Source organism: Homo sapiens, chromosome 13 (assembly GCF_000001405.40).
Source record: "Homo sapiens chromosome 13, GRCh38.p14 Primary Assembly".
NCBI lineage: Eukaryota > Metazoa > Chordata > Mammalia > Primates > Hominidae > Homo > Homo sapiens.
Genome location: NC_000013.11, coordinates 107,183,253 through 107,197,433, shown reverse-complemented (window position 1 = coordinate 107,197,433; position 14,181 = coordinate 107,183,253). Strand labels below are relative to the sequence as shown.

Genomic DNA, 14,181 nt, shown 5'->3' with positions numbered 1-14,181 from the left:
AGCCCACAGGAAAAGCCAGCACATCTGACTTCCCACTTAGCTTGGTCCATTGCTTTTCTATGCTCTTTTTAAAAAATAAATAAATTGTATTTTGCGTATTTAGGGTACATTAAGATATACAATATGATGTTATAAGATACATTGTCTTGGTCCATTTTATGTGGCTATGACAGAATACCAAAGACTAGGTAATGTATAAAGAAAAGATATTTATTTCTGACAGTTTTGGAGGCTGGGAGGTCCAAGGTTTAGCGACACCTCTAGTGAGGGTCTTCCAGCTGTGTTGTAGTGTGGTGGAGGACATCATTTGCCCAGAGCACAAGAGCATACCTGCCAGCTCAGGCATCTCTTCCTCTTCTTACAAAGCCACAGGTTCTACCAGCGGGCCCCACTCTGATGACCTTATGTGATCTTAAGTCCCTTCCAAAGGCCCCACCTCCAATCAACATATAAATTTGAGGATTAAGTTTCCAACACATGAGATTCAGGGGACACATTCAAACCATAGCAAACATATATATAGGAGAATGGTTAATAGTGGAACAAATTTATCATGTCTATCCTCTCACTTGGTCACCTCCCCCCAACCCCTGTGGCAAGAGCAGCCATAATTTACTCATTTAACAAAAATCCTGAATACAATACGCTATTATTAGTCCTCATGTTCTACATTAGATCCTTCAACCTGTTCATCCTCCATATTTGCTACTTTGCATCCTTTGACCTACATCTCCCCATCTCCCCCACCATGGAGACCACTGTTTTATCATCTCTCTATATTTGAACTTTTTTGGTTTTTTAGATTCCACATGTAAGTGCCATCATGTAATATTTTTATTTCTGTGTCTGGCTTATTTCACTTAACATAATGTCCCCTAGGTTCATCCACATTGTGGCAAGTGGCAGGATCTCTACCTTTTTTAAGGCTGAAAAATATTCTATGTTATATTCTTATATATCAGTTTATTTTTCCATTTGTCCATTGATGAACACTCTAATTGTTTCTACATCTTGGCTGTTGAGAATGCTTTTTCTTTTCACCTGAACTTTATTTTGGAATTGGAGTAACTTTCTCATTACTAGCTTGATTCTAGAGACTTATAAATGATTTCCCTGATTTTTGTAAACTTTTATTTTAAGTTCAGGGGTACATGCATGGGTTTGTTATATAGGTAAAGTCATGTCATGGGGGTTTCTTGTACAGATTATTTCATCACCCAGGCATTAAGCCTAGTACCCATTAGTTATTTTTCCTGATCCTCTCCCTTCTTCCACCTTCTCCACTCCAAAAGACATCAATGTGTGTTGTTCCCCTCTGTGTCCATGTGTTCTCATCATTTAGCTCCCACTTATAAGCGTGAACATGCAGTATTTGGTTTTCTTTTCCTGTGTTAGTTTACTAAAGATAATGGCCTCCAGCTCCATCCATGTCTCTGCAAAGGACATAATCTTGTTCTTTTTTATGGCTGCATACTATTCCATAGTGTATATGTACCACGTTTTCTTCATCTAGCCTACCATTGATGATTTCCCTGCTGTTATTATAAAATACTTTGCTAGACTTGCTGTTCTAGGGAGACATTGTAAGAATAAATGTGGTGAATATGTGTAAGTTTATATTCTTTCTCTTGTATAATATTTTTCCTACTAAGAAGTATATTCTGCCTTCTTTTCTTCTGAGAATTTTCTCTTGAAATTTACTCAGTCAACAAACATTTACTAAGAACCGATTGTATTAGTTTTCTATTCCTGCCTTAACAAATTGCCACAAACTCAGTTGGTTCATAAACTAAGAAATGCATATTCATCTGCAGAAGTAGGCAAATTAAACAGATGCTAGCCTGCAGGCTTTATACATAACTATTAAGAAAGTATAGAGGAGGCAGAGAGCAACCTTGAAAGTAAGTGTGGAGAGTGTGATTATCACAAACTTACAGACGTGAAAAGGCGATACAGAGAAATGAAATTTCCTTGAGTTTAAACAGCTTATTCCGCAAAGGAAGAATGAAATCCATGGTGAAGGTTTAATTCATAGCTTCTGGGCTCCCTTGAGTATGTTACCGCCATTACAAATGTAACTAGCATTATTACTAGCCACTAATTTTTGTCTGTTTGAGAGAAAGCAGAGTCCTGGAAAGACAATTTTCTAAATTTTAATCTTAATAGTTTTAGGGTACATGTGGGTTTTGGTTACATGGATAAGTTCTTAACTGGTGATTTCTGAGATTTTACTGCACCCGTCACTTGAGTTCTACTTTTAGTTCTTTAAGGAACCTCCACACTCTTTTACATGGTGGTTGTACTAATTTACATTCCCAACAGCGTGCAAAAGTGTTTGCTGTTCAACACGTCTATGCCAACATCTATTGTTTTTTGACTTTTTGAATATGGCCATTCTTGCAGGAGTAAGATGCTAACTCATTGTGGTTTTAATTTGCATTTCCCTGATGATTAGTGATGTTGAGCAGGTTTTCTTATCTTTGTTGGCCATTTGTACATCTTCCTTTGGCAATTGTCTATTCATGTCCTTAGCCCACTTTGTGATGGGATTTTTTATTTTTTCTTGCTGATGTATTTGAGTTCTTTGTAGATTCTGGATATTAGTCCTTTGTCAGATGTATAGAATGTGAAGATCTTCTCCCATTCTGTGAGTTATCTGTTAACTCTGCTGATTGTTTCTTTTGCTGTGCAGAAGGCTTTTAGTTTAATTATGTCCCATCTACTTATCTTTGTTGCATTTGCTTTTTGGGTCTTAGTAATGAATTCTTTGCCTAAGCCAATGTCTAGAAGAGTTTTTCTGATGTTATCTTTTAGAATTTTTGTGGTTTCAGGTTTTAGATTTAAGTCTTTGATCCATCTTGAGTTGATTTTTGTATAAGGTGAGAGATGGGGCTCCAGTTTTATTCTTCTATATGTGGCCCATCAGTTTTCTCAACACCAGTTATTGAATAGGATGTCCTTTCCCCAATTTATATTTTCGTATGCTTTGTCAAAGATCAGTTGGCTGTAAGTATTTGGCTTTATTTCTGGGTTCTCTGTTCTGTTTGCTGATCTACATGCCTATTTCTATGCATACCATGCTGTTTTGGTAACTATAACCTTGTAGTATAATTTGAAGTTGGGTAATATGATGTCTCCAATTTTGAATACTTTTTATGTATAAGACAATCAGCCAAGCGCTCAAGATGAATGATCTCATTACATCTTCACAATGTCTATGTGAGGAAAGTATGCATGTGGGTCAGGACTCTTGCAAGTGGCAAAAATCAAACAAAAACTGTGTTAAACAAAAACAGACTCCATTGGCTTATATAACTGAAAAATCCAGAGATAAACATCAAGGTATATTATTCATTAAAACGATAGATTGATATATAGATAGATAGATAGATAGATAGATAGATAGATAGATAGATAGATAGATAAGATAGATAGGTATATAAGTTGAGATATATAAAGATGTATTGGTGGTAGATGTACATGGAGAGATTCAATATAAATATGGATTTATAAATACAGCTCTCTCTCTCTCTAGTGCCAGCTCCAACTCTAGCTTTAGCTCTCTTTCTCCCTATCTCTGAGCTCCACTTTTCTGTTTGTTAGATTATTTCAGCAGGGGATACAGGTCTTAACTTCTCTGTTTAGAAATTGCAGCAGGAAGCTATCACCTCATTTCCATTAATTTTCATAGACACGTGGCGCTAGAGTCTCATGTCTTGACTTGGGCTGCATGCCCACACTTGGGCAATCATGTAACCCAGGAATGGAATTCTCTGGTCGGTCGGGTTAGTCAGGGGCCCCTCCTGCATGTGGGAGGGGTTAGATTAGCCCCACCTGAACTGCATCCATTGAACTGGGGAGGACTGCTCCCCAAAACCACATCTGGGTGCTTTTCCCAGAAGGGGTAATTAAACAAAAGCTGCCCACTACCCTACATGTGTTGCCATTAATGAGACCAACAATGCCTACATGAATCTCCTTACAGGTCTCCTCTGGAAAGTGGCTAAGTAAAGCCCAAACCATCCTTGCTTTGTTGTTGTTGTTAGTAATAAGGATGCACTGCAAACCATCCGCATGTTTAACACCCTGCTTACTGTTCATGTGCTGCCTATTCTAGACAGTAAAAAACGGTCTCTGAAAATTCTAGCCGTTTTGTTCACATATCCTAAAAAGCCAAAGCATTCTTTCTGCAAAGTCATATTTATTGTATTATTTATACTGAAACATCTATGCTTAATCATTTAAAAATATTTAGTAAGTGCAGATAAGCCAAAAGAAGATAAGGAAAACCTTCAGCTACCACCAAGAGGAAAATGTCATCTTATACCATAAATAGTGTTTCAAACCATTAAATATGCTTTCACAGCCTAGTTTAATGACTAACAGTACAGCATATAAGCATAATGTAAATTGCACAAATGTTTTACTAATTATAGGATTTTTTCTTTTTTATTTTTTGCTACATAAAAAATGTTACTAAGAACATATATAAACATACTTATTTCCATGTACTTACTATTGATTTCATTAAAACAAACTTGAATTGGAGTGGAAAGGTCAGAGGGTATGCAAAAGCTTAAGCCTTTTGATATTTATTGCCAAAAATTCAAAAAGTTTATAACTACATGGATTCTCACCAGAAGTATATTATATGGCTCATTTTCTTACTCCTTTGTAGTCATAGGTTATTGTTGGGGTTCAGTCAGGCTGATGGGAAAAATATTAGTTATGATAGCCACAAACCCTCTTGGAAGGCCTGAGAGTTTGCATAACTTCAGTAATAGATATGGTTAAAGGCAACCTGATCTTTACCTTTAGTTAAATAAATTAGAGTAGTAACAAAGGAATGTGAGGAAGTTAGCTAGCTAGCTTGTTTACTCATGTGGTCCTAAGACTAACCTTTGATGTACCACGGGTGCTTAAGCGCTTTATTCTCGGGAAGTCCACAATGTCAATTACCCTCTAGTGGTGTTGACTCAAGCCTTTGTCAATTAATCTTTACCAAATTAATGTGAGTCTCACTAGCTGGTCAGGGCCGCGGTCGCAACTGTTTACAGTACTCTCCAGGGAGTCTGTAAGCGGCCCAGACACACTCAGCTGGACTGGCAAAGCAGAATATCTGTGTGTCAGTGCATGTTATTCATCCGTCGTTTGGGTCAGGGTCTTTGGGTCAGACCCCCACAGCTGGTGCCCCGTGTCAGGAGCGCTACCACAGGTTATTATAATTAATATTTCCTTTTTATAAGTAAAATGTTTCACATCATTTTGTCAATTATTTAAATATTTGTGTTTAAACTTTTTACATGGTCCTTCTTATTTCTCTTTTATGTTGCTTCTTAATGTCTAATTGTTCATTCAATACATAATCCTTTCTGTCTCTCTCTCTCTCTCATCATCGGTCATGCACATTCTTCTTTTCCTGCATCTGTATTTCTTATAAGAACACAGAATTGGCTGGATACAGTGGCTTATGCCTGTAATCCCAGCACTTTGGGAAGCCAAGGTGGGCAGAACACCTGAGGTCAGGAGTTCAAGACCAGCCTGGCCAATATGGTGAAACCCCGTCTCTACTAAAAATACAAAAAAAAAAAAAAAAAAAATAGGCATAGTGGCACAAGCCTGTAATCCCAGCTACTCTGGAGGCTGAGGCAAGAGAATTGCCTAAACCCAGGAGGCAGAGGTTGCAGTGAGCCAACAGTGCACCACTCACTGCACTCCAGCCTGGGCAACAGAGTGAGACTGCATCTCAAAAAAAAAAAAAAATTAAGAATTTTAAGAATGTGTTCTACTCACATGGCGTAGAGTGACTGATGCAGCCAACACTGTGAAAGTCGTGGAGAAGCTCCTAGGACCCCGGCTTCTAACATATCAGCTTCTTCATCGCCTCTAGGAAACATGTACTTCAAAAACTGATTTTTACATTTTTTAAAAATTTTCTCAGTTTAATAGGTCTTCCAAGACTTTCAGATATATTTTTTGAAATAAAATGTAATCTGCATCAAGACAGGAAATATCTAAACTATCACAAGAATGACTGCTTTTCTTATTATAAATATTTTCTAGGTCTTTCAAGTAAGAGTTGCAACTGAGTGTTAAATTCTGTTATTTTTCAAAAAAATCACTAATTTTGTTATTTTATCTTTATCATTTCAAACTCATTTTTTTTTTTTACTATTTAGTGAGCATTATCAGAGTCCTTTCCATTATGTCGAAACCTTATAGGTTCTTGTGTCTTCAAAAATAGGTGCAAACCAATGACCTCTGAGGTCAACAATTGGAAATCAAAACAGAGAAATAATCCAAGGAGCCGTCAGATGAAGTAAATCATAATGATGCCACTCTACCTGGCCCTGTAACTAGGGGAAGAAACAATATACTACCTGAGACATTATTCTGTTTGGCAACTGACATGCCAGAATCTGAACTAAATACCTATTTTCCATCAATCAGTGAAAAATATGCATAACTACAGCTTTCTTTTCAATGGAATGCTGCAATTCTAATGAATAGTATCCTCTTCAAATGAAGCTACACCCCATCCCCCAAACTCTACCTTTCTGCTCTCAGAGATGTCCCTGTTTCCAATGCTTTCGTAATTTCTTTTTGAAAATTGCTATAGTACTTTATTTTCATTTGATTTTCTACTGGAAATATTAAAATTACTGGAAGTCCATTCAATTCAAGTCTGAAAAATAAAGGTAACAGATTATTCTAACTAATATTCCTTTTGCAAATTTTAATATTGACTTTATAATATTGAGAATGATTTTCTTATCTGTTCTATAACATTTTCTAATACATTTGCTTTAAAATATCATTGTGTTTCTTCAGAGCCAGAGGATTACTCATTTAAGTTTTAGCATTTGTTTTGAGTAAAAACATTTTGATTAAAATCACAACTTTTAATTTTAATATTTAACATTTTAAAAACTGGCAGATCAAATTGGGAAAATAGTTTTCCCCTAAGTATTGAAAATAAGGCATATTTTGGAAGTCAACTCTATTTATGAGGTGTTTACATGCCTTGAAGCCATTAGCTTGTTCTGTGTATGCGTGAGTGTACACAGACATTGGGGTAGTTTTGTATGCATTCTGTCATTACACAGAAAGTCTGGTTTTCTTTTTACAAAGAAAAGCAGGAAATGGTCTTTGTACTCTAAATACATTGATGGATCAAAGCATTAGCAATACTGTCTCTTCAATTACAACCTATGGGTTGAGATACTGCAGCCACAGAATTATTTCTATAGTTTCCTGTGTTCTAGAATATTTCCTTTGCAGAGTTGTAGTTACCAAGGATTTCCAATGTAAAAATAACTGTGGGCAATATACTAAACAGTAACACTGATTTACAAAATGTGGACCCCTCAGTGCCATTTCACAGAGGAAAATAACAAAAATAAATATAAGGAGAACATAATAGGTAATGTTCTCAACAAGGAACACACAAATCCCCTCACATGGCTTCTTGAGCAATGATGTGAATAAAACCAGTGCTGAGGTAGCTAGCACTCAACACGAAGACACACAGACATCTATGAGAGATCCGACTTGTTTACACCCTCCTGTAACGTAAATTCATGTGGAACACTTAAATTATTCCAAATTCCTAAATGTGCTTCATGAAACTCCTTAGGCACCCTTCCCATTTATGAGAGTAATCTAACCTGAAAAGTAAAAGCATTTTGCCATACTGGTTAGTTCATAGTGATAAAAGAGAAAGGAGTTGCAATTTTTATTCCTTTCCCAGGTGACTGCCAGTCTCCACTCGGAGTCCCTGGTACTTGGTAACTTATCAGAGTAGGAAGGAAAGACACAAGTCATTCAATCCTGACAATGCCCACTGCTTTGAGTCCTGCTTTGCTTGGATGGTTGGTGCAGATGCAAACAACTGAGCTACAGAGCACGGACCTCTTCTCCGGGAATCCATGTGACTTTCCTGTACCCCATCCTATAAAGTCCAACGATCACTAAGACAACCCTCTAAGGGTTCATTAGAGGGGGAGGAAAATTAAATGATATATTTGGTGAGTGTACATTTCTTTGTCCATTTTTTTCTTCTCTGTTTTCTTAGAATACATTTTTCATAATTAAAAAAATTACTGTGTGACCATTTTGGGGAAAATAACAATGTGAAATGTGATATTTTGCAGTGTGTGTTAGATTTCTGTTTAGACTATATTCTCTTTGGCTGCAGACAGTCTTTGTTCTCCTGGTGAAATACTGGAAAACTTTAGGAATATTGCTTGAGGAAATTGTCTGCTTAGCTTCAAGACATTTCAAATGCCCAATTTATTCCTCAACTTAGCTTATGATCTTAATGAATGAGTAAATTCTCTGTTTAACTTCTTTGCCATTTTAATGTGGGCCTTTGATTTTCATTTCATTTAGTATCGTTTTTCAGTCTTTAGAGCAATCTATATTCCATCTAATGTGCAGTTAGCTTTCAGCTCTGAATGGCTTTTGCATAATCAGGTCAGTATGGCCTTTTCTTAAGAGTTTGTGTCACTTCCCTTCCTGTTATTTGTACTTGCATTACATTTTACTCTTAGGCTACATCTAGGTGCTTTGTGTTCTACTACATTCAATTCATTGCAGCATCCTCTAATAACTCAGTGAATTAGCGCATTCATTATTCCTTGCTTCCTTCCCTCATTAAACAAATATATATTGTTCATTTGTAGAGCTTCTTGTCCACATACAGCTGGGTATTGAGAATAGGAGAGAGTGGAGGACTCATCCTTACTCTCACTAATGTCAACTGGAAGAAGAGTAATATAATTCTATTAATATTAGATGTAATGATGCTAGCCTTTATTCATCATTACAGATCTGATACATCTGTCTCCATTACTCCCAAAAACTACTTGTTTATAAATGTATTCCTTAATTACTTAAAATTTGCCCTGACTTTAAAAAGATATGATAAAAATTATAAATGTATAGATATCCAAAATTTGCAGAATTCTTTCTGCAGATGGTCACTATAATTTGAACTTTTTTTTTCTAGGTTTCTTAGATTGGCCTCTCTTATTGTTTTACCTGCCAAATTATAAATAACCCTAGAAAATTAGCAAATTCTCTAGAGATTATTTTACAATTTTTTACCTTTGAGAAAAATAATAGACAAAATTTGGATCCTGATGATGTTTTTAATTTTTTGTAAGTTATTTTTAAGTAAATTATAGATAACATTCATGTGAAATCACTATCATAGCAAATATAAAATGAAGAGATATTAAAGTCAACATACTAACTTCAAAGATCATTTTCTGCAACACTAAATTTGGATTTACATGATGGCAAAAAAATAAATTGTCTTGGTGATGAGTAAATCATTGCATTTAAGTTATGGATGTGGCAGATTCTGGTTCAAGCTGATGATCTGAAGCCAAAATTTTACCTCCCGTCTCTCTGTAAATCTTATTATGATTGAATGAAAAACCATAAAATGAGATATACTCACAGAAGCCATAAAGCCTGGAAAGTGGGATGCTATTATAACTTTTAATGGCAGAAACCACAATTACTTTTGCACCAACCTAATAGAACTGAATTGATACTTTAAAAAATAAAAATAAAAAAGTATATGAGAGAAAAGACAGAGGCCAGAGTTGAGAATCTTCAGAGTAAGCTCTAAAAAGAGCAGAGGAAATGGGAACCATTCTTCCCATAGGACCCATGGGTGATCAGGATTTGTTTGGGGGAATTACTGAGAGAAAGAGAACAAAAAGGGCCAGGAATTACCTGATAGATTAAAATGATAAGCAGGCATCTGAGCTGCCCGGCTGTCTCCATTCCCACGTATGCGTGGTGTTGTTCACTCCATAAAACCAGGGTTCTTCTTTCAACAAACATTGAATGAGTGTGTGGGGTGGAAGTCAGGAGCCTCAGGATCAGTCTTCATCTTACCTCCTTTGGGTAGTACTGGGAAGGTTGCTGCAATGGGCCTACTTGTTTCCCATCCCCTCACCCTGCAGATAATTCTGCCTGTTGGAGAGACTTGACAATTAAAGGTGATGAGAGAAGAGTATTATGTAGAAGAGCCAGGATCCATCCTATATAAGCATTTTGAAGAAAATAAGACACAACAGAAAAGAACACAAAGGTAGAAGTGGTGGAAGGCCTGAAGTGGTGGAAGGAGTTTGACCCCAGTGACCTTCTCTCTGGTTTATGCCTGTAAATATGCTACATTACGTGGCAGAAGGGACATTGCACATGGAACTAAGATTGCTCATCAGATGACTTTAAAATGAAGAGATTACCCAGGATTATTCAGGTGATCCCAATGTAATCATGAAAGAAGAGGACAGAAGAATCAGTCAAAGAGACGAGACAGAAGAAGAGATCAGAGAGATGGGAAGCATGAGAAGCACTCAGCCCACAGTTGCTGGATTTTAAGATGGAGGAAGGAGACATGAGCCAGGAAATGCAGGTGACCTCTAGAAGCTGAGAATTTCCAACCAATGGCCGACAAGAAAATGGGGACATCAGTATAGCAACCACATGGAATTAAATCCTGCTGATTTCCTGAATGGGCTTGGAAAATCAAATCCCATACCTTGATTTCAGTCTCATGAAACCCAGAGTAGATAAACCAGTTAAATCATCCCAGACTTCTGACTTACAGAACTATGAGATAACAAAAGGATCATTTAAAGCTACTATGTCTGTAACAATTTTTTATAACAGCAAGGGAAAATGAATACAGATTGTGATGCTAAAAGCAGAGTGCTGTTGTAAAAATTGCCTAGAAAATATGCAAATGGGCCGGGCATGGTGGCTCACACCTATAATCCCAATACTTTGGGAGGCCGAGGTGGGCAGATCACAAGGTCAGGAGATCGAGACCATCCTCGCCAACATGGTGAAACCCCATCTCTACTAAAATTACAAAAATTAGCTGGGCGTGGTGGCACGCACCTGTAGTCCCAGCTGCTCAGGAGGCTGAGGCAAGAGAATCGCTTGAACCCGGGAGGCAGAGGTTGCCGTGAGCCGCGATCATGCCACTGCATTCCAGCCTGGCGACAGAGCGAGACTCTGTCTCAAAAATAAATAAATAAATAAATAGAAAATATGCAAGTGGTGTTGAAACCAGACAGTGGTAAAGTTGGAAAAATTTAGTGGAGCATGATAGAAAAAGTCCAGATCACCTTGAACAGGCAGTTCACAGATACAGTAGTCCCCTCTCATCTGTGTGGGATACATTACAGCATCCCCCGGTGGATACTAAACCCCGTCAAACGCTATGTATAGTTAGTACCAAGCCCTTTGTATACTATATTTTTTCAGTCTGATAACCAAAACAGCTACTAAGTGACTAACAGGAGGTTGGTATATACAGTGTGGACATGCTGGACTAATGGATGATTCACTTCCTGGCCAAAATGGAGCAGGATGGCATAAGATCTTTTTTCGCACTACTCAGAACAGCATGTAATTTAGAATTCATGGATTGTTTATTTCTGGAATTTTGCATCTAACATTTTTGGACTGTGGTTGGCCACAGGTAAATGAAACTCCAGAAAGAAGTGGACATTGTAAGTGATAAACTCAGCTACTTAGCTGAGGAGACTGCTCAGCAAAGTGTTGAAGGTATAACCTGATTGATTCTTGCTGCTTATAGTGAAATGCAAAAGGAGATTGTGAATCTGGAATCCTATACCTAGGCAAAATATCTTTTGAATAAGAGAACTAAGTTTTTTAAAAGCTAATTTAAAAAAATAAATAAATATATACATGGTGGAAAGTTTATGTTTCATATATCCCATCTGAAAAAGTATTTAAAGTTTTATGCTAGTCAAACAAAAGAGTTATTGGAGAAAGAGGGCAACATAGGACCTCAATATTGGTGATATTGATGGGTACAAATAAGACCCCATCATCTCTAATATGAAATGTAACACAGACAGAAACTCAGAGGAAGAGAACTAACTGGAGTAGGATAACCCAGAACACTAGATCTCTTAGCACTCTGAATAGTATCCACAGGGGAAGTGAGGTGTCAAAAATAGAAAGAGAGAGAGAGAGGCATGCAGGGAGGGGCGGGGGTGGGGGGAATAACACGCACTGTTCTGGAGGCAAATAGATAAACATCTCTGTTCTAAGATGAATATGCAGTATATTCGTTTCCCAGCACCATTGTAACAAAGTACCACAAACTAGATAGATTAACCAAGTAGACATGTATTTTCTTATAGTTCTGGAGGGCTAGAAGCCTGAGGTCAAGATGTCAGCAGGATAGGTTCCCCTGAGGCTATGCGGGGCATCTGTTCTGGAGGCCTCTCAGCCTCTGGAGGTGGTCAGCAATCTTTGGCACTCCTTGACCTGTAGTTGCGCTGCTCTAATCCTCTGCTGTCACACGGCCTTCTCTGTATGTCTCTGACATCATCTTCCCTCTGTGTTTCCCTGTCTTTGTGTCCACATCTTTTCTTTTTTATTAGGACATATGTCTTACTGGATTAAGGAACCCCTAATGACCTCATTCTTACTTGGTTATCTCTGTAAAGACCCTATTTCCAAATAAGGTCCCATTCTGAGGTATTCGGGGTTGAGACTTTAACATATCGTTTTGGAGACTCAGTGTAACCTATAAAACACAGAAAATTAAATATGGATGCTAATAAAATATACTTGACATAAAAAAGGAAAACAGGAATTCAGAAACAAAATAATAGCATATATTTGAGACAAATTACTACAGGAGTAGTTTTAGATAGCATCAGCTCTCAATACAATTTGAGGACAAAAAGGCCCTTTAAACTAGGGAAGAAGAGTGAAACGGAATTTAGCTAGGATGCAGGAAAACATGAAAATGAATTTAGATAGAAAAAGAAAATATTGCAATGCAATGGGGAAAAATTGCAAAAGGAAAACATGCAAATATGTTATACACATACAGTTTCAATCATAGGGACCTAGAAAAGCAAAGTGGAGGACAGTCTTGAAGAGCTCTCCGGAAAACAGAGACTAAGTCCAAGGCAGAGACTAAGAATATAAAAATGATCAGAGGGAATGTAATAAACTGAAACACACAAAGCAAAACTGAAGGAGGAAATAAAGCAATAGGGACTACCTTTCCATCGGCGCATTAAAATGGTTTTCTCCGTTCAGGCAAAATTAAAGAAATTAGATCAACTTCTAACATTCTTGAATTTTGTGAATAAATAAAATATCCTACCAGCTACAACAGGGAGAAATATATTTGTCTGAGAAGAAAAACACGGATGTCAGATTTCTCTTTTTTTTTTTTATTACACTTTTAAGTTCTGGGGTACATGTGCAGAACGTGCAGGTTTGTTACATAGATATATACGTGCCATGGTGGTTTGCTGCACCCATCAACCACCTGAACCTTGAACCTGAGAGGCAGAGGTTGCCGTGAGCCATGATCATGCCACTGCACTCCAGCCCGGCAACAGAGTGAGACTCTGTCTCAAAAAGAAAATAAAAAAAAAAAGAAAAAGAAAATAGAAAATATGCAAGTGGTGTTGAAACCAGACAGTGGTAAAGTTGGAAAAATTTGTTGGAAAAACGTCATCTACATTAGGTATTTCTCCTAATGCTATCCCTCCCCCAGCCCTCCTCCCCTCGACAGGCCCTGGTGTGTGAAGCTACCCTCTCTGTGCCCATGTGTTCTCATTGTTCAACTTCCACTTATGAGTGAGAACATGCGTTGTTTGGTTTTCTGGTCCTGTGTTAGTTTGCTGTGAATGATGGTTTCCAGCTTCATCCATGTCCCTGCAAAGGACATGAACTCATCCTTTTTTATGGCTGCATAGTATTCCATGGTGTATATGTGCGACATTTTCTTTATCCAGCCTATCACTGAGGGCCATTTGGGTTGGTTCCACATCTTTGCTATTGTGAACAGTGCCGCAATAAACATACATGTGCATGTGTCTTTATAGTAGAATGATTTATGATCCTTTGGGTATATACCCAGTAATGGGATTGCTGAGTCAAATGGTATTTCTAGTTCTAGATCCTTAAGGAATAGCCACACTATCTTTCACAATGGGTGAACTAATTTACATTCCCGCCAACAGTATAAAAGTGTTCCTATTTCCCCACATCCTCTCTAGCATCTGTTGTTTCCTAACTTTTTAATGTTCAGATTTTTCTTTCAAGGAGAGTAGACCAACGTGTGCACTGCCAGCTGTGAGAATCCCTCCCTGGCAT

At 37.5% G+C, this 14,181-nt stretch overlaps 1 protein-coding gene across 1 annotated transcript in view, besides 1 other annotated feature; it reads left to right on the top strand.

The window, feature by feature from the left end:
- Positions 1 to 14,181, top strand: part of NALF1 (NALCN channel auxiliary factor 1) — a 703,987-nt gene that overhangs the window by 670,063 nt on the left and 19,743 nt on the right. The gene's annotated exons all lie outside the window — the stretch shown is intronic.
- Positions 4,638 to 5,212: an enhancer, noted in NCBI's record as "OCT4-NANOG hESC enhancer chr13:107844570-107845144 (GRCh37/hg19 assembly coordinates)". NCBI's record gives its function as "activates a minimal SCP1, AML or CMV promoter by ChIP-STARR-seq in naive H9 embryonic stem cells {active_cell/tissue: H9 hESC(naive)}" and the evidence as "EXISTENCE:reporter gene assay evidence [ECO:0000049][PMID:30033119]".